Source organism: Homo sapiens, chromosome 8 (assembly GCF_000001405.40).
Source record: "Homo sapiens chromosome 8, GRCh38.p14 Primary Assembly".
Lineage (NCBI taxonomy): Eukaryota > Metazoa > Chordata > Mammalia > Primates > Hominidae > Homo > Homo sapiens.
The window spans coordinates 24,906,264-24,928,798 of NC_000008.11; the positions used below are offsets into that span (position 1 = coordinate 24,906,264).

At 42.1% G+C, this 22,535-nt stretch overlaps 1 protein-coding gene and 1 long non-coding RNA gene across 3 annotated transcripts, besides 1 other annotated feature; one reads left to right on the forward strand and one right to left on the reverse strand.

The window, feature by feature from the left end:
* Positions 7,142 to 7,915: an enhancer, noted in NCBI's record as "H3K27ac-H3K4me1 hESC enhancer chr8:24770918-24771691 (GRCh37/hg19 assembly coordinates)". NCBI's record gives its function as "activates a minimal SCP1, AML or CMV promoter by ChIP-STARR-seq in naive H9 embryonic stem cells {active_cell/tissue: H9 hESC(naive)}" and the evidence as "EXISTENCE:reporter gene assay evidence [ECO:0000049][PMID:30033119]".
* NEFM (neurofilament medium chain) lies at positions 7,498 to 12,830 on the forward strand. Of its 2 annotated transcripts, none has more exons than NM_005382.2 (3): positions 7,498 to 8,610; positions 9,342 to 9,466; positions 10,798 to 12,830. In NM_005382.2, exons 1-3 carry the CDS (start codon positions 7,531 to 7,533, stop codon positions 12,341 to 12,343), a joined length of 2,751 nt encoding a protein of 916 aa, NP_005373.2. In that variant the 5' UTR covers positions 7,498 to 7,530; the 3' UTR covers positions 12,344 to 12,830. The 2 variants fall into 2 exon arrangements, with proteins under 2 accessions (NP_005373.2, NP_001099011.1); NM_001105541.2 differs by lacking the exon at positions 7,498 to 8,610 and adding an exon at positions 8,724 to 9,034.
* LOC112268023 (uncharacterized) lies at positions 13,841 to 18,447 on the reverse strand. Its single transcript, XR_002956698.2, has 3 exons — positions 18,327 to 18,447; positions 14,521 to 14,672; positions 13,841 to 14,392 (listed from the first exon to the last, which is right to left on the reverse strand). It is a non-coding gene; the product is annotated as an uncharacterized LOC112268023 (long non-coding RNA).
* Positions 18,448 to 22,535: the final 4,088 nt, after the last annotated feature.

Genomic DNA, 22,535 nt, shown 5'->3' on the forward strand with positions numbered 1-22,535 from the left:
TAGCCAGAAGGAGAAGAGTTTCGCTAATATGATATAGGGTCTTCACTAAACTTCAAATGGCTTGGTGGTAACATGAGTGTACCTTGTGCAAGAAAGTACACAAGTGTCTCACCCTTTAGAGTTTCCAAAAGTGCAGGTTTCCAAGGTATATAGAGCATGAGAGAAGGGGCCACAGATATTACCAAGAGGCAAGAGAAAACACAACAAATTGTATGAAATGAGTCACGTTGGCTGAGGAAGGATTTTTATCACTAGGCATTCATTCCTTAATAATTTTAGGTAATCTAGATCCAGACAGAAGCTGCTTGCTGCCATGACTAGTATAGCATAGATGTTTCTTTTCAAGGCCAACTTTTGCTCTGGAAAAATGAGAAACGGTTCTCTTCTTTGACCCTATCTGATAAAGTAGAAACCAACGCAGATTTATACAAATGAAAATAAGGTTGAGTCAGAGCACTTTGTCCCATAAATAACAAAAATGGATGAAGGCTGACTGGTCTCTAGGCAACCTATGTAAGTACAGTCACATAACCCTGATTTTAGTATATAAAATAGATGATCAAGAGATTCACTTAAAATTATTCACGTCTGGCTCCTCACTATTTTAATAGATTTTAAAAGCTGCTTCCTTGCCAACAATCCTATTGTAAACCTTCGCTGCTGAAGATTGTGGGCCAAGCTTTTTCTTCTGCCAAGATTCAAAAGCTTGTTATTGGATCTCTCAAAGTAGATTTAGTTTAAAGAGTCTGACATCTACGAAAAATTGTGAATACATGATTAAAAGATTGTCTTTTCAACTGTGTATAAATATATACATAAATGTAAATAAATGATATCATGATAAATTAATGTATAGTACAAATTAAAAATCTCCCAAAAACCAAACCAAAAGTGAATATAAATGTGAATGATAAATATATACCAGAAAAAATAATAGCTACATGATTAGAGATATCATCCATAGAGCATGGACTAGCCGAATGAATTTTATGTACTTCAAATTACATAGAAAATTAATTTAGAATATGATATAACAAAGACAAGTAATTCAATGTTTTTATTCTTAATGTCTTTAATAAAGTCAGAAACGATGAAATAATGTTTAGCTGAAAAAATACAAAAATGTTTTATTTTTATATAAATAGTAAAAATGCAGCAAAAGAATGTATAGTGGCCCTTGAATCTTTTTTTTTTTTTTTGAGAGACAGAGTCTTGCTCTGTTGCCCAGGCTGGAGTGCAGTGGCGCGATCTTGGCTCACCACAGCTTCCATCTCCCAGGTTCAAGCGATTCTCCTGCCTCTGCTTCCCAACTAGCTGGGACTACAGGCGCGCACCACCATGCCCAGCTAATCTTTGTATTTTTAGTAGAGACGGGGTTTTACTATGTTGGCCAGGCTGATCTCGAACTCCTGACCTCGTGATCCACCCGCCTCGGCCTCCCAAAGTGCTGGGATTACAGGCATGAGCCACAGCACCCAGCTGGCCCTTTAATCTTTTTAATATGACCTAGCAGTTCAACAATTAGCTTTTAAATGAGATTTTTAACGTGGGTATGGCCTACTGATGATCATGCTGAGGACTGTCCTCCAGAGTCAGAGTCTCCTAAATTCCTGTCTTCATTCCACCACCTCCAAGCTGTGTGTGGTACTTAACCTCCCTGTGCCTCTGTGCTCAATTGCACTTTCCACAAAAGTGTCATCTCAAAGGGTTGTGAAGATGATTAAATGAGAGAACTCTGTAAAGTTTTGGCACAGTGCCAAGCATCTAGTGAGTAGTTAATAAATACCAGTTATTTTTATTGATATGACTATGATCCACCTACTTTTATTTTTCATGCTCATTGAGACTGGATTTTATATTCTACTAAAGAAACTTGTTCTAATGTTGGCATGGGTGTCAGAAGATATGAGTTCTGGCCTAGGCTCCACTGCTTTCCAGATGTGTGACCTTGGACAAATCAGCAATTTAATCAACTCTAAAATGGAAATAATAATTTGTGCACAGCTCAGATGAGAATACATTGTTTTGTTTTGCTTTGCTTCTTTGATATAAAGCATTGTCCAAATGTAAAAGTCTGATGGTGGTGGTGATGATGATGGCTTGGGATTTAGGGTACTACTAAGTGTAAAAGAACACAGTATTTAGGCCTGACTAGACCACATTACAAGTTATTACAAGTTACCACCTCCAGCTGTCACACCACCGCCCTCAGCTTCATGATGACATTCCTCTCAATAACCAAAGAGAGAGACAGGCAGGCAGAAAAGAGACAGAAATTAATATCAGTCCTGATTAGGCTTTCTCGATCTACTATTGTTATTAATTATTGCTATTATTATTTTATCATTCTTGATCTAAAGAGTCTTTCCAAATCTTTTTTAAGAGAAAAATTCAAGTTAAATACCGAGCTACAGTCCAGCTCTCATGGCAAACAGGACCATGTTCTTTCCTCTAAAGATAGCACACTACTTATTCAGATATATTTACTTTACAAAACAGGGCATGGGATTATATAAACAGAAAGATCCTATTTATATTTAAGTTACAGAGAAAAAGACTAGAAGAAAATACTTAAATTATTGTCTCTCTCCATTTTGCAAATTTCTACACTCCATATATATATAAATTTTAACCAAAAAAGTGAGTTAAGTATTCTAAAATAGATGCTCTTCTTAATAAGCTAAGTGACAAGACAGAGCTATGACAGTGAGCCCATTTTCAAAGGATTATGAAAGAATATTGATTTTCAAATTTGCAGAGATTGAAAAAAAATCACCCAGTCCTGGGACAATGAGACTGAATTATTAGGTGGGGCTTCTTTGTGACTTTCTGTTCCCAGGTTTAGCTCTTTTCAGAAATTTGGTCCAAAGATCATTGATCTGCTCTAGTTTTACGAAGCTCATTTTAATTAAGAGTTTCTAATAAAAGAATTATGTCTCTTGCTAAGTCAGGCCTTGGTAAGCTTGGGATAAAATATGTCATAAATATTTCATAGCTGCACTGGTGCAGTTACGTGCAAGGCAGGGTTTTCAAAATTCAAGTGCATATCATCAACATCTGTTGCTGCTTTATAGGTAAAGCTAATGGGTTCAGTTAAAAACATGCTGAAAATTAATACAGGAGTACTCTTTTATTATGCATCTACTGAACTTTATTTTTAGAGTCACTTTTACCAAGGCTCTATTAAGTACTTTTTTAAAATTCTAAATCTTTCTCCCCTGGCTTTCACAGAAAGGATTCACAGTGGAGAGGTGAAAGCATTACACAGCAAAAAAATCAGCAAGCTATGTTAAAGCCAAAAGCTAAATTTTCCCCCACCACACACATGAAATTTCCAGATATAGAATTTTAAAACTGATTAATTTAACATTTGGAATATAATAAAGATTAAATGTTTTAAGTTTTGTAAATACTTCAATTAACTTCATCATAACAGTAACTGACAAATAGAAGGCAATATTCAAAGAATAAAATATTTGGCAAGGGAAACAAACACCATTTCAGTGGCCTAATGACAGAAAAGGAACACTGTGGTCTAGATGGATTTGTTTTGATCAAAGACAATAGGGACATACATATACATCCCAATTTCCCTGACAAGAAACAGTCTTTCTCCCCTGAGAATATTTTTATTTTGCTTTCAACTCTTGACAACAACAAAATCAAAAGTCAACACTGCTTTTAAAGTTTGACATCCTGAGGATCAAGTAGAAATATGTAATATAGCTTCCTTTTTCTTGTGTTCCTGCTTCGGCAGACTAAGTCCCTAGCTTCCTACATCAACAACCCCTTAAACAATTAGCAGAGGACAGGTTATAAATAATTATTATGAGTTCTAGAACCAGATCCCAGGCAAACGGATTAAGTTCAAGACACAATAGGTTGAAAGAAAGTACAGATCATCTCATCTTGGATGGATTCAGCCTACCAATTTGAAAGTGACGTTGTCCATCTGGAGTATCTTTCTTGCTATCCAGTTCCTACATCCCATCCTCCTTGCATTTTTTTATATCCAAAAATGCTATTTAAAAGAAGAAATGTAAGGAAATAGGGAAAGATGGGAGAAAATGCCTAACTCCTTATTTTTTATCTTTATTTTATGACCCAGTAAATATACCACCTTTGCAAATGATATTTTCCCAGTATTAGATGACACCCTACAAAACCTGACAGTGGCTATCATCTCTTAGCTGCAAAGTTAACATTTTCACTTTCCCTACTGAAGGAACATATAGATTGGAGCATGCCTTGTATTTCTCTATAAAGTGATTCAAAACAGACTGTAGCTTATGAAACAACAATTCAGAGATAATTTCATTTAAAATGTCTTACATCTAAATCATATGAGAAACTTTTCTATTTAGAATAAATTACAAAAGTATCGTAGTCAAACTTAATTCCATGAATGCAGTGTGGTTAATCCGGGTGAGTTGCCATGATTGTTTTCTCTCTTTTTAATATTTTGAGAAGATTTCATAGCCTTAGTGTTCTTAGGGTTTAAAAAAATGCAAAAGCATTTCTTTCTGTGAAAACTATTAAGATGGTAAATATTCTTCAAAACTATGAGACAAAAAGGGAAAAACATCTTTTATAGCTTTTTAAAAAAAGTTTTCATACTAAATTTACTGATGGGTATAACCTTCAAATCACCTTTAGGAAGAGTAGTTAAAGTGGAAGAGTTTAATATAAAAGAAAACATTTTGCTAAATGTGAAACTGGATCCATCATTTTTTAAGCCATGGGAACTGTTTTTTCTTAATAAAACAACTGTTTTAATTCTTTGCATTATCCTGTAGTGCCCAGATTGAACAATATATCATGTGACATTGAAGTTACAATTTTAAGTTATAGGCACTAGATGTAGCCTGAGTAACTGACTTATTTTGTTTGTACGCAACACTTTCCTCCTTCTGTAACCAGCTGGAAGCTGAACAATTTCTCAGCTACTTCAGATACAAGGCAAAACTGGGTAATTGTGAAGTTAGACATGTGTTTCCTTGTAAATGTCTCTCTGCAGAGTCATCTCGTTTCCAAAGCCCTAAAGAAAATTAACAGCAGAAGGCTGCCGGTTAACCATGTACTCTCATTGCAGAGTTTGCAGTGAATGTGCACCATGAAATTGCCAAGGATTTTTATATATTTCAATAAAAGCAGAAAGTAATAAGCAACAAAGGCAAAATTACTGCATAATTAGCATTTGGCCTTATCTAGATGGTATCCTGCTGAGTCCAGCCTGACATCCGCAATACTTTACAGAAGGCAGGGAATTTTCTTTCTCCTTGCCTTTATTTATCTACATAAAACCAGAAAATCCTGTTTTTACAGTATTCACAAGTCAGTCCCCTCATTCCATCATCTGTCTCTCTCAACAACTCAAGACATGGATGGGCTCTGCTTGCCTAAGGTCTCTCAGCAAACTAGAACATCCTTCTCCTACATGGCCTGCGATACTGCAGTTTCATATTAATAAACCAAAGTAACTCCCAAAATTAGCACCTCCTGTTTAAAACATTATTTCTATTTTAATACAGATGGGCCAAGGGAGCTGATAAAAATAAAAAATAAAACCTCTAGAAACCCACCCCTTTCCTGATTACTTACTGATGAATATGATCCTGTCTTTTAATAAAACAGGGACTTAAGGAAACATGCTGTGAAAAGAAGCTATTTCGGTCTGGAGTCCCTACTTTTTATAAGCAGTAGTTTCTTCTCACCCATAGCAAGCGTTGCACATTCAGTCACTTGTACCTGTGGCCCCAGCGCTGTTGTTAGTTCTGCAATCTCTTCTTCACTTTATCTTGTAGTATTCTGAACTTTTTTAACCTGAATTACCCCCAAAGCACTACCCAAAATAAAGGGACATTTTAACAGGAGTACACCAGACAGCAAGAAGTCTGTGTAGAGTTCTTGTTTGCATAAACATGTTTAATGATATAGAAAATCTATTCCAAATCAATCATTAAAATCTAAAGCGAAAAATATATTACATTTTAAATGAAGGGAAAACATCTGATTTTATTCAAGGTTGTGGTGACTCTGTTCCGCAACTTTTAAATCAATTTAAAGTTAATTCAGATGCCTTTTCAATCATTGCAGTTACACATAGGGAATACTGAACCGAAAGATGACAAGGCAATTGTCTGTGTCCAAACTTAAGAAAAACTATATTTCCCTGGACTTTTCATCCCAACAGATTTCAAATTCTCCTTTCCAAGGAGTATTTGACCTTCACATTTCAGGCCCTGTATCTCTTCATTTCCTATACCACCATATGTTAGAAAACTCAAACTGGGCTACAAGTATATATTTCTGTTAACTGACTTTAATGAATTTTGGTTGTTTTCAAAATCTGCGATCTGTCCATTGTGCCAACCCTGCATTGCAGGGAAGTCTTAGCCTGTGATTCCAGCTTCGCTCCTGCAAAGATAGTCACTACAGGCAGGTTTAAATTGTATTTACTCGGAGAGAAGAGGGGGAAGGGAACCCCCTGCCCCCTGCCAACCTGACAGGCCAGGCTGGGTGACAAGCCCCCCGGGTGGCTGCACCTCCCACTCGCCGACCTGGGCGCTGTCCTTGGTGCTGCCGGCGCCATAGCGAGCACAAGCGCCTTACCTTCTGCCCCTGCGGAAGCTGCGGACGTCCCCCAAACGTTAAAAACGCCATATCCCACTTTTTATACAAATAACTACCCCGGCCTGTTCTCTTTGTCCCCTTCCCGAAGCCTTCAGGCAGACCGTTCCGCAAAGTCTTTTTTTTTGTTTTGTTTTGTCTTCTAGACCCAGCTCCTCGGCGCTCATCTCCAGCTGCTTTAAGACAAGGGGTGGGGGAAGGGGAGGGAGGCAAGAAAAGATGAGGGTGGGGGAGGGGAAAAGAGGGAATGCAAGGGGAAGGAGGGAGGAGACGGGGAGAAGGAAAGATTGGAAGAAAAGGATCTCCGAGGAAGGGGCTGAGAGAAGGGCAGGGTGAACTGGACTAAAGGCCAGAGTAGGAAGGAGAAGAGGGGCCAAAAAAGAAGGGGATGAAATTAAGCACAGAAGATGGGTAAAGAAAAAAGTATCAGGGAAAGGGCAAAATAAGAGAAAGCCTTGAGGATAAGAGGGTAGAAGGCTAAAGAACAAGGGGACCACGGGGTCGGGGAAGCGCTGCCTGAACGGCGGGACAGTGACAAAGAAAGGGCGCTGGCGATATTCGCACCAAGGGTGCGAAACGCAATCGGGAGGTGAGAAATGGAAAGAAGGCGAATGCCCGGCTACAAGTAGCCTGGGACTGAAAGGGGACCTGGGGGAGGGGCTGGGCCCAGGGCAGAAAAGTCCAGGTTCCCATGCGGCCTGGGCCCACGTGGAGCGGGCGCTGAATCACCGTTCAGCCGCCCCCCTCCCCTCCTCCCCGACCGGTGCCCGCAGTCCCCGCCTCCTCGGCCGCCGCCTCCACGGGGCGGGGCCCTGGCCCGGGACCAGCGCCGCGGCTATAAATGGGCTGCGGCGAGGCCGGCAGAACGCTGTGACAGCCACACGCCCCAAGGCCTCCAAGATGAGCTACACGTTGGACTCGCTGGGCAACCCGTCCGCCTACCGGCGGGTAACCGAGACCCGCTCGAGCTTCAGCCGCGTCAGCGGCTCCCCGTCCAGTGGCTTCCGCTCGCAGTCGTGGTCCCGCGGCTCGCCCAGCACCGTGTCCTCCTCCTATAAGCGCAGCATGCTCGCCCCGCGCCTCGCTTACAGCTCGGCCATGCTCAGCTCCGCCGAGAGCAGCCTTGACTTCAGCCAGTCCTCGTCCCTGCTCAACGGCGGCTCCGGACCCGGCGGCGACTACAAGCTGTCCCGCTCCAACGAGAAGGAGCAGCTGCAGGGGCTGAACGACCGCTTTGCCGGCTACATAGAGAAGGTGCACTACCTGGAGCAGCAGAATAAGGAGATTGAGGCGGAGATCCAGGCGCTGCGGCAGAAGCAGGCCTCGCACGCCCAGCTGGGCGACGCGTACGACCAGGAGATCCGCGAGCTGCGCGCCACCCTGGAGATGGTGAACCACGAGAAGGCTCAGGTGCAGCTGGACTCGGACCACCTGGAGGAAGACATCCACCGGCTCAAGGAGCGCTTTGAGGAGGAGGCGCGGTTGCGCGACGACACTGAGGCGGCCATCCGCGCGCTGCGCAAAGACATCGAGGAGGCGTCGCTGGTCAAGGTGGAGCTGGACAAGAAGGTGCAGTCGCTGCAGGATGAGGTGGCCTTCCTGCGGAGCAACCACGAGGAGGAGGTGGCCGACCTTCTGGCCCAGATCCAGGCATCGCACATCACGGTGGAGCGCAAAGACTACCTGAAGACAGACATCTCGACGGCGCTGAAGGAAATCCGCTCCCAGCTCGAAAGCCACTCAGACCAGAATATGCACCAGGCCGAAGAGTGGTTCAAATGCCGCTACGCCAAGCTCACCGAGGCGGCCGAGCAGAACAAGGAGGCCATCCGCTCCGCCAAGGAAGAGATCGCCGAGTACCGGCGCCAGCTGCAGTCCAAGAGCATCGAGCTAGAGTCGGTGCGCGGCACCAAGGAGTCCCTGGAGCGGCAGCTCAGCGACATCGAGGAGCGCCACAACCACGACCTCAGCAGCTACCAGGTAGGAACCGCGGCTGCGCGGCCAGCCTGCGCCAGCGCCAGCGCCGCGCGCCCCCGACACTTGGGCTCGTGCCCAGGCGCCCTCTCCGCCGCGCTCCCTGGTGGCCGCTCGCTAGAGCACGCGCGCCGCAGACCTAGGGTATTTGCGGATCAGCGTCCTCGCCCATCTCATCCTCCACACTCCGCCCCCACCCACCTGCCCCAGCTGCTAAGGGTCTTGACCTTTTTCAGAAACGTGCATCTTTTCCAGTTCTAATTTTGCACGCTTGCACGTTTAAAGCAGGAGGGATGAATTCGGTAGTGGATAAATCAGCAACTTTAGGATAGCTTATGCAGAAACGCGTGTATTCTCTACTTTTCCGGCAGTGATCGGAAGAGCTCTCAAAATTGGCTTCAGCCCAAAGGGCTCAGATGGGAATGGCCAGGTCAGCCATGGAGTTTCCCCATGCATGTTTGTGTCCTGTTGAGACGTGTTCTAAGTCCACTGGTCTCCGTGCGTGATGTGCCCAGGAAGTGTCCTATTGTCTTACTGATCTTGTATGTTCATTTGAGAATCGCTTAGATTTAAAAGAAAAAGGGGGTGGGACGGGGGGCTGGGAGTCAGGTGTCAGCGAGGTTTGCAGAAGTGGAGGGAGACGGGAGGAGGCCAGGGGGAAGGGGTAGCAAGTGGTTTGCGAAGGAAGTTGCTGTTTGCAAGGATGAGTCTGGGGAGATTCTCTGTGTCTGTTTCAGGACACCATCCAGCAGCTGGAAAATGAGCTTCGGGGCACAAAGTGGGAAATGGCTCGTCATTTGCGCGAATACCAGGACCTCCTCAACGTCAAGATGGCTCTGGATATAGAAATCGCTGCGTACAGGTACGATGCTTACTACGTGCGTGGCCGGAACACTAACCGCAGTGCAGAGGCTGTTCCGGCAGAGCTTCCACCACTTAAGTTAAAGCAGGCAGGGTGCAGGCATCAACTCAGCACCTGGTTATCTTGCTTACTTAAAAAGAAATTATTCTAAAGAATTGCAAGTGTAGTTTTATCTCTTTTTATGCAGCTTTAAAAGAATGAATACTAGTAGAAACAAAAGGTTTTTGAATTACACAAAGGAGGTGCAGATTAATCTCAATGCACATGCTTAAACTTTTTATGGAAAAATGTTTTCAAATGCTGGAAGCATGAACAGAGTTTTGGTTTCTAATATTTCATCTAGTGGTTTCAGCTTTTCAAATGTATAATGTCAAGGACAAACACCAGGACGTTCTATTTCTCTGTTTCTCTGTTATATAGCTTACTATTGCCATCATCTGGCTGAGAATAGATATAGAATGATAGAATATAGATATAGTTCTTTTATATATGTAGATAATTTATATGTATTATATTTTATGCTAGACTGTAGTATAAATTATATCAATATATCATGTATGATATTAATCTAGATCTATAGATACACATATGTGCATATGCATATAAATCTAGATATATAGACACAAATATATATGATCGTTTTATAGATAGTGAGATAGGTTATAGGTCTATTAACTGAAGTGACCTTGCTGTTGACTAAGCGCAAAGGACAAAATCGTTGATTAAAATTTTTCTGCTACCAATAAGGTAGTTATAATATAACGAGAATAAATTGCATTTACAGAGCTATCTCTCTTTTCAGGAAAGCTGAATAACTACATTAAATAGACACTTTATGATAAAAATTATCAACAAATTTATAACTCGATACACCTGAAAATCTAAACGTTTAAGAAAGTGACTACTCTCAGAAAGGCTGTTTGGCTTTGGAGTTTGGGGGCGTTTTGTTTATGGCTTTTTGTTTTTTTGTTTTTGTTTTTGTTTTTTGCTATTTGGCCACTAACAAGTTTTTCAGCATATTCATGTTGTACCTAATGGATCTCTACTGCAGGGCCAAGACTTAGTAGCTGGGTGTGGTTAGTGGACTATTGGGCAAGGTTAGTCATTGTAGGGGGCAACTGTCTGGCAGTCCAGGAGAATCTTTCTCTGTCACTGAGTATAATGTAATATGCCAGTAAGTGATAGCAGGTATTATAGTGAATTCATAGAATATTCTACTTATGTAATTCTATTTATTCAAAGGTAGCTACCACAATACCCAGAATGTAATGAAGCTCAGAAGGCCTAGTGAAATTTTTACTATGTCTTATGTTCTTGGATTTTCTCCTTAGAAAACTCCTGGAGGGTGAAGAGACTAGATTTAGCACATTTGCAGGAAGCATCACTGGGCCACTGTATACACACCGACCCCCAATCACAATATCCAGTAAGATTCAGAAACCCAAGGTGGAAGCTCCCAAGCTTAAGGTCCAACACAAATTTGTCGAGGAGATCATAGAGGAAACCAAAGTGGAGGATGAGAAGTCAGAAATGGAAGAGGCCCTGACAGCCATTACAGAGGAATTGGCCGTTTCCATGAAGGAAGAGAAGAAAGAAGCAGCAGAAGAAAAGGAAGAGGAACCCGAAGCTGAAGAAGAAGAAGTAGCTGCCAAAAAGTCTCCAGTGAAAGCAACTGCACCTGAAGTTAAAGAAGAGGAAGGGGAAAAGGAGGAAGAAGAAGGCCAGGAAGAAGAGGAGGAAGAAGATGAGGGAGCTAAGTCAGACCAAGCCGAAGAGGGAGGATCCGAGAAGGAAGGCTCTAGTGAAAAAGAGGAAGGTGAGCAGGAAGAAGGAGAAACAGAAGCTGAAGCTGAAGGAGAGGAAGCCGAAGCTAAAGAGGAAAAGAAAGTGGAGGAAAAGAGTGAGGAAGTGGCTACCAAGGAGGAGCTGGTGGCAGATGCCAAGGTGGAAAAGCCAGAAAAAGCCAAGTCTCCTGTGCCAAAATCACCAGTGGAAGAGAAAGGCAAGTCTCCTGTGCCCAAGTCACCAGTGGAAGAGAAAGGCAAGTCTCCTGTGCCCAAGTCACCAGTGGAAGAGAAAGGCAAGTCTCCTGTGCCGAAATCACCAGTGGAAGAGAAAGGCAAGTCTCCTGTGTCAAAATCACCAGTGGAAGAGAAAGCCAAATCTCCTGTGCCAAAATCACCAGTGGAAGAGGCAAAGTCAAAAGCAGAAGTGGGGAAAGGTGAACAGAAAGAGGAAGAAGAAAAGGAAGTCAAGGAAGCTCCCAAGGAAGAGAAGGTAGAGAAAAAGGAAGAGAAACCAAAGGATGTGCCAGAGAAGAAGAAAGCTGAGTCCCCTGTAAAGGAGGAAGCTGTGGCAGAGGTGGTCACCATCACCAAATCGGTAAAGGTGCACTTGGAGAAAGAGACCAAAGAAGAGGGGAAGCCACTGCAGCAGGAGAAAGAGAAGGAGAAAGCGGGAGGAGAGGGAGGAAGTGAGGAGGAAGGGAGTGATAAAGGTGCCAAGGGATCCAGGAAGGAAGACATAGCTGTCAATGGGGAGGTAGAAGGAAAAGAGGAGGTAGAGCAGGAGACCAAGGAAAAAGGCAGTGGGAGGGAAGAGGAGAAAGGCGTTGTCACCAATGGCCTAGACTTGAGCCCAGCAGATGAAAAGAAGGGGGGTGATAAAAGTGAGGAGAAAGTGGTGGTGACCAAAACGGTAGAAAAAATCACCAGTGAGGGGGGAGATGGTGCTACCAAATACATCACTAAATCTGTAACCGTCACTCAAAAGGTTGAAGAGCATGAAGAGACCTTTGAGGAGAAACTAGTGTCTACTAAAAAGGTAGAAAAAGTCACTTCACACGCCATAGTAAAGGAAGTCACCCAGAGTGACTAAGATTTGAGTCCATTGCAAAAGGTTAAGCCATATGACAATTTCAAAATGCATGTGATTGGCAGCTTCAAAACAGAACGGGTTCTCCCATGGGGGCTCCAGACATTGTATTTTACTTTGTGCAATATGAGGGGACTGCATGCAAGCTCAGGGTGCTCCCTCCTCAGTCTTTGGGGGATTCAAATGCATGATATTGTATGTACCTGGGAAATTTGCCGATTTCCTAAGCTGTTGGAAGGGGGTCACTTAAGGGGGGATGTCTTGAGATGTATTATGCAAAGTACCAACTGAGCCAAAAACAATAAACGAAACACAGAACTCAGCCTTAAGAAAGCTATATATGAATAATTATGTTTACCTCACTGGTGCATTTAAAATGGACTTTTGTTCATGGGAGAACCTCGTTGACATGCACAGTTTGCAATCTTATGTTGATCGATGTTAAACGTCACAGCAGTACTTGCTCAATAAAGGTCATATTGGAAACATAGTCAATTGCTGAGTCTTATGTCATTTCTCTTTTTCTAATTTTTATTTATTTATTTTTATTTAGAGATGGGGTCTTGCTATGTGGCCTCAAGCAGTCCTCCCACCTCAGCCACCCAAAGTGCTGGGATTACAGGCATGAGCCACCACGCCCAGCCTGTTATGCCATTTCAAAGTGAAATCTCCACTACCTGAAGCTTTCTTGCCCTGAAATAGATTATTGGGGGGAATCATAAGTAAACTGCACATCTTATTGCTATTTCCCTGACAGCAATTACTTGGAAAACGTAATTGCTGAAGATATTTTCAGGTGTCAACATCTTCACCGAGCCCGGTCTTCATCCCAAAATTTTAAAATCATATTTTTGAAATAAAAATAAAAGCATCAGATACAAATAGGAATCTGGTGGGATAGAAATCTTCAGTGTTTGTTTCTATCCCAAAACAGAACTCAGAACCTCTAGGTAAGAGGACCAATAAAGGAGGGGTTCATAACTTGTGCCTTGGAGTTGGGACAGAGACAGAGGAGCTCATGGCATTTATGACGATGTGTCCAGTGGGGACAGGGCTGACATCACTAACACTCCTACCCGGAACTATCCAGCCTCAGAGGCATGCCTCCTGTGCACAAACACACACATACACATTGTCTGCATCACTAATGCTTGATTTGACTGACAGAGATTTACACCTTTAGTATTTTACTAATTGTGGAAAATGATATAAAAAATAAATAAAATACCCTACCTGAGAAAAGAAAAATGAGATTCTGTGACATAGGCAATAAGTGTTTTTAAATAAAAAGACATGATCTTGACCAAGGAAATACTATCATCCCCTTTTCAAAACTTGTTTTAGGCCTTGAAGACCATTAATATATTAATTAGCACATTATCCTGTCCAAGTCCATGTTTTTTCATTAATAGGATCAGCTCAATAATACAATCCTTGATATATTTTCAATGACTTTTTCAAGATAACTCCAATTTTAATGCCTAAACATACCCAGGAAGCTAATTGTTAACGGCAGTTTTTATTGTTTCCCAATCATTAGCCATTTGCCAATCCTCACAATTTTGGCTACATCTGAGTATTATCTGTACAATTATGTATTCAGATTTCTTTCTTTAAAACAATTTATGTTTTAAGTTAAGATGTTAATTTTTCTGAAGCAAAAATATCCATGACACGCAAAGTGACACAGGATTATTTAAATATAATCAGCAAAAAAAAAAAAAAACTGATCTAGTGATACAGAATTAAAAAATAAAAAAGAGCATATTGGAAGGACACAGGGTAACTCCTAGAGTGAAAACATCAGCAGAGGAGTCAGGGGTTGGGAGAGAGGAGCTCGGACAGCCCCAGGGTCAGAGGTCGCAGGAATCATCACGCAGTCACAGGGCGGATTAAACTGAAAACTCTGTGACACTTCATTGGAATTCCAGGAACAGAGCATCATCTATTTGCCACACACCTTTGCTAGCAAAGAGGAGCACCTTGATTGATAGTCTCACCCAAACTGACTCCAATGACAGCACTGCAGCTCTTCACAGAAAAGTCTGGGAGCTGTTATCAGAAGTAGGAATGGAGGCTGGAGTTATGTGATACGATCTATGTGAATTTTTTAAATGCCCATTAAATATACAATCATTACTATAAAAATACTCATTTGCACCTAAAATCATCTCACTTACCAGCACTGGACCCTGGGGCTTAGAAGACTTTCTTTTTTGGTAGCATATATTGTTTAAAAATGACAGGATCAATCAGCAAAACTCTCCAACGCAGGCACCAGAAACTTAACTCTTCAGCTCTAACTTTGTTTTCAACCACTTCATTTTCTTTCCTAAGAAGGTAAGACATTCAATAATATTGCCACATATTCCATAAAAAAAAATCACTATTTTCTATTCTTTAAAAATGACAGAACACCTCTGGCTGCAGTGGCACAGGCCAATAGTCACAGCTGTTCCAGAGGCTGAGACATGAGGATCACTCAAGCCCAGGAGTTCGAGTCCAGCCCTGGCAAAGTAGTGGGAACCCATCTCTAAAATAAATAAATAAATAGAACAACATACCTTTAATAACCCATGCAAGTATTTCTAAGTCAATCAATTGCCTGGTTGATTAATTAATTCAATAAATGTTTATTGAGGACTAGAGCTTGGAGATACAATGGTCTTCTCTTATAAAATTACTTACTTTGTTGTCACTGCCAGCCATCACACTATTATTGAAAGAGAAAGCAATTTGAAATTCATGTGTCCAAATATGTTCAGTGACAGGGAGAAACTACATTTAAACTAAGCACAAATCTCCACGTGTTTAGGATATAAGAGTACCTTTCCTCTGACGACAATTGGTCTCTGGGCACAATGACATCAAGCCATTGAAAAACAGAATTTCTACCTTGCCAGTAGACTGTCTTGGAGACACTATTTTACTTTAAATATTGTGAGGATTATCAAAGTTCATTTATTCTCAATCTTAAAACATATAAGAACAGATTTTTTTTAAGAAAAACTTCCTCTGGGTCACACACTAGTAGATGACAGAACTGGGATTTAACTCATAGGAAAGGTCCAGAGTATGTACTCTTTTTTATTTATTTATTTTATTTTTTATTTTATTTTATTTTTTTTTGACAGGCTCTCACTCTGTCACCCAGACTGGAGTTCAGTGGCATGATCATGGTTCACTGCAGCCTGGAGCATCTGGGCTCAGGTGATCCTCCCACCTCAGCCTCCTGAGTAGCTGAGACTACAGGCACATGCCACCCTGCCCAGCTAACTATTTTTGTGGGGTTTTTTTGTAGAGATAAGTTTCGTGATGTTGCCCAGGCTGGTCTCAAACCCCTGGACTCAGGCAATCTGCCCATTTCAGCCTCCCAAAGTGCTGGGATTATAGATGTGAACCACCATGCCCAGCCCAAAGCATACACTCTTAACCTCAGTCCTGTAGTAATCCTCAAATCTATCCACTGTGGCCACCTCCATTTATAAGGATGTTAAGCTAGGGTCATTTCTTTCTTTTAAAATTGAAAAAAAAGAAAACAGAGGAATACTATAAATCATTCATTTAATATACTTGCATATCTCTTTACATTTAAAAAAAGATACAATATCACTTCTCTATGGCACTGTGTTTGCATCTTGAGGAAAAGAATAAATACTCAAATGCAAAATAAGTGGTGATTCTTTCTATCTCAACAGCTTGCAAGTGCCAAACAATTTTCTCATAGTAACTTTCATGTTCAATAGACAGAGTTATTTCTAGTGCATTTCCTTCTATTGCCAGTCAGTGCAGACAGAAACAGTATTAAAACATTAGGATATTCATTTCCACAACAAATAGGTTGGTTGTTCCAGTTTAGAACAAGTTATTTTTTTCCTAGTGTTTTATATAATTTGCCCAAAGGGAACCAGGAGCTATTTTTAAGTGAATTATTCTATTAGATCTGCCTAAAATTTGTCTATTTTTAGGGCTCCTCAACCCTTAGAGCTTGGCAAAAATAACAGACGAGAGTTCAAGTCCCGGGCTGTAGACAGCAAAATTGTGTGTCTTGGGTCCATTATATTTACCCTCTAAGCCTTCACCTCCCTATCTGTAAAACAGGGCTGCCGAGGTGATGGGGTGTTACCTATGAAAATGTTCCACACTGTAACAGGCATTTGGTAGCCAATCAAAACCATTTGTTAAAGATAATGAATTTTAAATTGGATCACAGCTATAGGTACAGAATTTTTAATTTAAAGAGTAGAAATTAACTGGTACCTTAATTTTCTTATATATAATTTCAATACAGATTGCAATGATGAGTTTACCAAAATAAGTACACAATATGAATATAAATATACTCATGTGCACATATATTTCTTCATCAGTGTACACATAATTTCATTACCCATATAGAGAATTTGGGTGGAAAATCGCTGCATTTTTCATTGCATTAATCTATATAGGCTGCTTAGACACCCAAGAATCCATCTACATAATCATGGGGCTTAAAAGTTTCTTGACCAGGCGTGGTGGCTCACACTTGTAATCCCAGCACTTTGGGAGGCTGAGGTGGGCGGATCACCTGAAGTCAGGAGTTTGAGACCAGCCTGGCCATTATGGTGAAACCCCGTCTCTACTAAAAATACAAAAATTAGCCCGGCATAGAGGCAGGCACCTGTAATTCCAGCTACGTGGGAGGCTGCGGCTGGAGAATTGCTTGAACCTGGGAGGCAGAGGTTGCAGTGAGCTGAGATCGTGCCACTCCACTCCAGCCTGGGCGACAGAGTAAGACTCCGCGTCAAAAAAAAAAAAAAGTTTATTGATGGAAATTATTTAAAACCATATTAAGAGTAAGAGAGAGAAATATTTTTGTGCTAGGCCTCTGAAGACATGAAATTCCCAGATCCATGCTAACTGTGTTCAACACCATAATGCAGGGCTTTCAGGATTCTCTTTGACTTATTTGAGGTATTTTGAAAAGTTACCACATCATATCTTCAATAAGGTATTCATTTTAGGTAATGCTCCTTAAATCATTCCCTAACTCTAATTAGCGTTCTTATCTTAGAAGAGAACAGAGTTGAAAAAAAATTAACAGCCGACTACATAAAAAGGCTTTTTTTTAAGCTTATGAAAAGCATAATCATTCTAAAGGGCTAAGTAGGAAGGACCACTTACATAGGCCCATGCTATAGTCTTGTTTTGTATGTGGGTGGGTGAGGTGGGTAGTGGGAGGAGAACAGAAAATCAAGGGCCCCAGAATTCGAGTGACAACATTGTGTCCAGAAGGCAAACACCGGGAATTTTTGATTCTGCATTGAGATCACAAGATCACAAGTCAGGGGCCAACTTCAAGTATCATAGGTTCTACTTTTGGTGTTCTCACATTCCTAAGAGAGTAAACCCTGACAACAAAAAGAGATAAGGACTGAAAAGGGCTCCTTTTCCTATTGGTTCTCAAATTTCAAATAAATTTCGGTGAGGAGGGTAAAATTACTGGTTTGCATTAGTGCTTTGGAATATGCTTAATTGTAATTGCTCATCATCTCTTCTGGAAAATCACAGATTAGTTGAAACCACGGAGTATAGCACAAAGAGCCTTCTTTGCCCTGGGATCTAGAAGGTTGGGCCCTCTATACAAGTGACAACACCTCCACACCTCCCATTTTAACTTGGAAAATTCAAGTGTATGTTGAATTCTGTGATGATGCGTTTATATCTTCCTCGATTCATATGTCAAAAACTTACTCTTATCCAAAAACAGTAATTCAGCTTAAGGAGAATTTGCACTTAAAATACTGTGTGCTAACATTTGGAAGAACAAAAAGTTAAAAGTTATTAACTTTTGGGCGGGAAACAGTGGCTCAGCACATTGGGAGTGTGAGGTGGGAGGAGATCGCATGAGCCCAGCAGTTGGAGACCAGCCTGGACAACACTGGGAGACCTGCTCTTTACAAAAAATAAAAAGAAAAATAAATTAGCCAGACATGGTGCCGTGTACCTGTATTCCAGCTACTCAGGAGACTGAGGTGGGAGAACTGCTTGAGCCTGGGAGGTCGAGGCTGCAGTGAAGCATGATTGTGCCACTGTGCTCCAGCCTGGGTGACAGAGCAAGACCCTGTCTCAAAAAAAAAAAAAAAATTTACTTTTATCTATGTAAGTATATAATGTATGAATATCAGCAAGAGAAATAGAAAACTGACCTCCCTCTTCCCCAGATTTCTTTCTAACTATGGCTGCCTAGTTACTTCTGAACTGGACTTCTCAGTGGCCCCAAATAAAATTACAAATATAAGACACAGAATAACAATGTCTGACAAATAGTAGGCACTTAATTAGTGGTAAATTTTCATTGCCGTCATTAATATTCGTTTTAAAAGTAATAACTGGCCAGGCGTGGTGGCTCACACCTGTAATCCCAGCACTTTGGGAAGCCGAGGCAGGCGGATCATGAGGTCAGGAGATCGAGACCATCCTGGCTAACACGGTGAAACCCCGATTCTACTAAAAAATACAAAAAAGTAGCCAGGCATGGTGGTGGGCACCTGTAGTCCCAGCTACTTGGGAGGCTGAGGCAGGAGAATGGCATGAACCTGGGAGGCAGAGCTTGCAGTGAGCTGAGATCGCACCACTGCACTCCAGCCTGGGCAACAGAGTGAGACTCCATCTCAAAATAAATAAATAAATAAAAATAAACAAATAAATACAAGTAATAACTAAAATAGCCATGTATATTAATTACCATGTCAATAAGAGATACACACAAAAATTAAACCTGTAGCAAAGCTTCAAGAAGTAGAAGAGTAGATACCTTCGCACTAAACTTTACTTACTATATATATGCTACTCAGAATCATAAAACCCTAAAGGTTGAATTAGCTGATAATATTTAACCCACATTTCTTATGCCTAAAAAGCAGCTGCCTAACCTATAATTGAATATCTACAGTGACAGGGAAGTTACTTTGCTGCAAGCCATCCCAACAGATAACTTGGACTGTTTGCAGTCCAACTTCTTTACATTGTTCTAATCTCTGATCCCCTGTAACGTTCACCCACTGATGCAAATTCCAGGGAGTCATATAAATCCTACTTCCCTTTTCCCCAGAATGGACTTTCAGAGAGATGAAGGTAGCATAGTGTGGATATTTGTCCCTTCCAAATCTCATGATAGGAGGTGTTTGGGTCATGGGGGCGGAACCTTCATGAATAACTTGGTGCTGTCCTTGCCACAGTGAGTGAGTTCTCATGAGATCTGGTTGTTTAAAAATGTGTGGCATCTCCCACCTCACTCTCTTGCTCGAGAACTCTCACGTAATATATTGGCTCCCCGTTGCCTTCTGCCATGATTGTAAGCTTCCTGAAACCTCAGCAGAAGCAGATGCCAGCACAAATGCTGCTTATACAGCCTGCAGAACTGTTAGCCAATTAAACCATTTTTCTTCATAAATTACCCAGCCTCGGATATTCCTTTAGAGTAACGCAAATGGACTAAAACAGATGGCCATGTCCAAATCCAAGCAGCTCATAGCAGTAGTGACCATTGTTGAGTTTACTACCTACCAGGTACTCTTCTAAGCACATCACCTGTAATTAATCCATGATTTCTCATAACAAACATACATGCAGGTATTATTTTTAACACCATTTTTTTGCAGAAGTTTGGGCATAATAAACCCAGGCTTTTTTTATATCAAACCCATGACTTTTCTACTTTATACTTTAATAGACAAAACAGCAAACATATGTAACTACACTTGTTCACCCTTGGAATGAACCTTCTACCTGTTGAGCCGAGCCAGTCTCAAGTAGTCCCCATTCTCCAGTTTTTCATTTATGTCAAAATTAACTGATCTGGGGAAGTGTTACTTTAAAACTCATTGCTATATAGATGGCAGGAATTTTAAACTCAACAATGAGTTACCCTAGGTTACAGTCTAGGTTTCACTAATCTGTGCCTGGATATATAACACTATTTTGTGGTATCTTCTTTACAAAATAAAATAAATTAAAATTCTGATTGGCGCATGAGCTATTTCATGTCTCTATTTTTCCATTTCTCAGATTCTTAAGTAGACAATGCCCTAACAAATAAGTTTTTCTTCTAGTAGTTATTCACCCATAACACATAACCAGTTTCATGGGGAGCAGCAACATGTATCTGCCTATCGCCTTTGATTGACACTTTGTTCTTCAGCGATAGCAACGAAGGAAGTATTTAGGCTGGATTAAAGTGATTAAGCATCAAGAGAAATTATTTCTATGCATCAGCAATTAGACAGGTTTGGACAGTTCTAATAAAGAATGCCTTGAATGTCACATGTTAGAAATTTGGACAAATTTGTATGGCACTTTCACATCCTACGCACTGTCATCTGTTACTATCATAGTTTGAGATTAAATTTCCTTTGCTGGGCATTGTTGATTATGAAGCTTAATAATCACCATGTTCCTGGGAAAGCAGTTGACCATGTCCACCCACTGAGTTCATTCCCTTGGCATATTCGAATGAATATTACCATTAGAAGGAAATCGTGTGTCCATGACATTTGCAGAGCTAATGCCGATCTCCATTCTTCATCAGCCACCCATTAAATATGCCATAAATGATTCTAAAGTAACACTTTCTCATTGGCAATTAGCAAACTGCTTTGCCAATTCTTTGTCAGGAATTTGCTTACAGGATTTGCTCAAGAAAACACATGAATTTCAAAATCACCATCGAGACATATGAAAAAGTAAGGCCAAGGAAGGAAAAGTGAATGAAGTCACCCAAAGTATATGCTTCCTCCTCAACTTTGGTGGACAGAAGTGTTAGGGGAAAAGGAGCACATGAGAGCCAGGGTGCCATCATTTGAAAATCAACTCCATCTTAAAACTAGCAAGGCACATTCCTCACCAGTCACAACCCATGGTCATAAGATGTTTATGGCTAAGGAAGCAGCTTAGTCATGACAGCAAGGACAAACTTCTGTGACAGCAGAATGTCCAGATGTACCAATACTGATGGCAGCAGTGAGCCATCTGCCATCACACTGGCCACTACAGGGAGGGCGCAGGAGGAGGCAGACAGCACCCTCCCCCCAGCAGCTTCTGCCCTGGGGCCGCTGAGATAGGGCCAGGCCAGGTCACGTGCCTGGTGAGGGGGAGCTTTCCAGGTGCAACTGCAGCCGCCCCAGTCACAGCTGCAGCCCAGGCACCCCTATTCTCTTGGGAGCCAGGAGCACACAGAAACCCCACCCCCCACCCTGCGTAGGTGCAGCCACCCAAACCAAGGCTGCAGACCCAGGCCTCCCTGCACTCTTGCACTTGCAGGCTTGGAAGTGACTGTTCCTGCTGCCTGGCCTCTCCCTGGCACGCGCTTCAATCTCGGACCAGAGTTGGGGCCAAACCCAGGTGCTGTCACAACCTGGCTGTGTATGCACATGCTTGGGGAAGTGTTGACATGCCAGCCTCCTGCCATCTTGGCCCCCTCCAGACTTTGGGTGCTGATCAGCTGAGGAGCATGAGAGGGGAAGCTGAGGGGAGCTGAGGGCAGCTAGGTGCTGCCCTGCAGGTGTCCCTTGGTGCAATAGATGGTTGTGGGAGGCAGACAGGCTCCTGGGTGGAAGTGGGTAGATCCCCAATGAAGCCTCACCTTCAGGCTAGGGCACGCCTGAAGCCTGGAGGCTGGGCTGCCAGTCCTGTAGAAAGGAGGGGGAACTCATGGTGCTTTATCCTAGGCCCACTCGTGGCTGCCCATGGACCAATTAGCATGCACTTCCCCTCTCTGAGGCCTGTAAAAGCCGCAGGCTCAGCCAGAACAGAGCAAAGGACAGGACAACCAGCTGCAAAGAGGAGTTAACCTCCCCAGGACCTCCTCTCTGCTGAGAGCTGCAGACCAAACAGGACCACCTGCCTGCAGAGAGGAACCACCCACTCCAGGGCCTCCCCTCTGCTGAGAGCTGAACACTGAATCAGATGACCAGCCTACAGACAGGAGCTGCCCCCTGTGTGTCTCCTCCGAGCTGTTCTAACACTCAATAAAGCTTCTCTTTGTCTTGCTCACCCTCTACTTGTAAGCATACCTCATTCTTCCTGTACACAAGATAAGAACTCAGGCAAAGGTGCCTCCAGCCACAGAGGTTTCTGGCCAGAAAAGTGATACACTAAAGATCCCATAACTTTAAAGATAAAGTTATGTGATACACTATCACATAACAGTGTGTGC

Bases quoted from the DNA above. Each gene is read 5' to 3' on its own strand.
- NEFM (NM_005382.2), top strand. From the start codon at position 7,531: ATGAGCTACACGTTGGACTCGCTGGGCAACCCGTCCGCCTACCGGCGG. The intron at 8,611-9,341 runs GTAGGAACCGCG...TGTCTGTTTCAG, and splicing joins ACGACCTCAGCAGCTACCAG to GACACCATCCAGCAGCTGGA. The intron at 9,467-10,797 runs GTACGATGCTTA...TTTTCTCCTTAG, and splicing joins ATAGAAATCGCTGCGTACAG to AAAACTCCTGGAGGGTGAAG.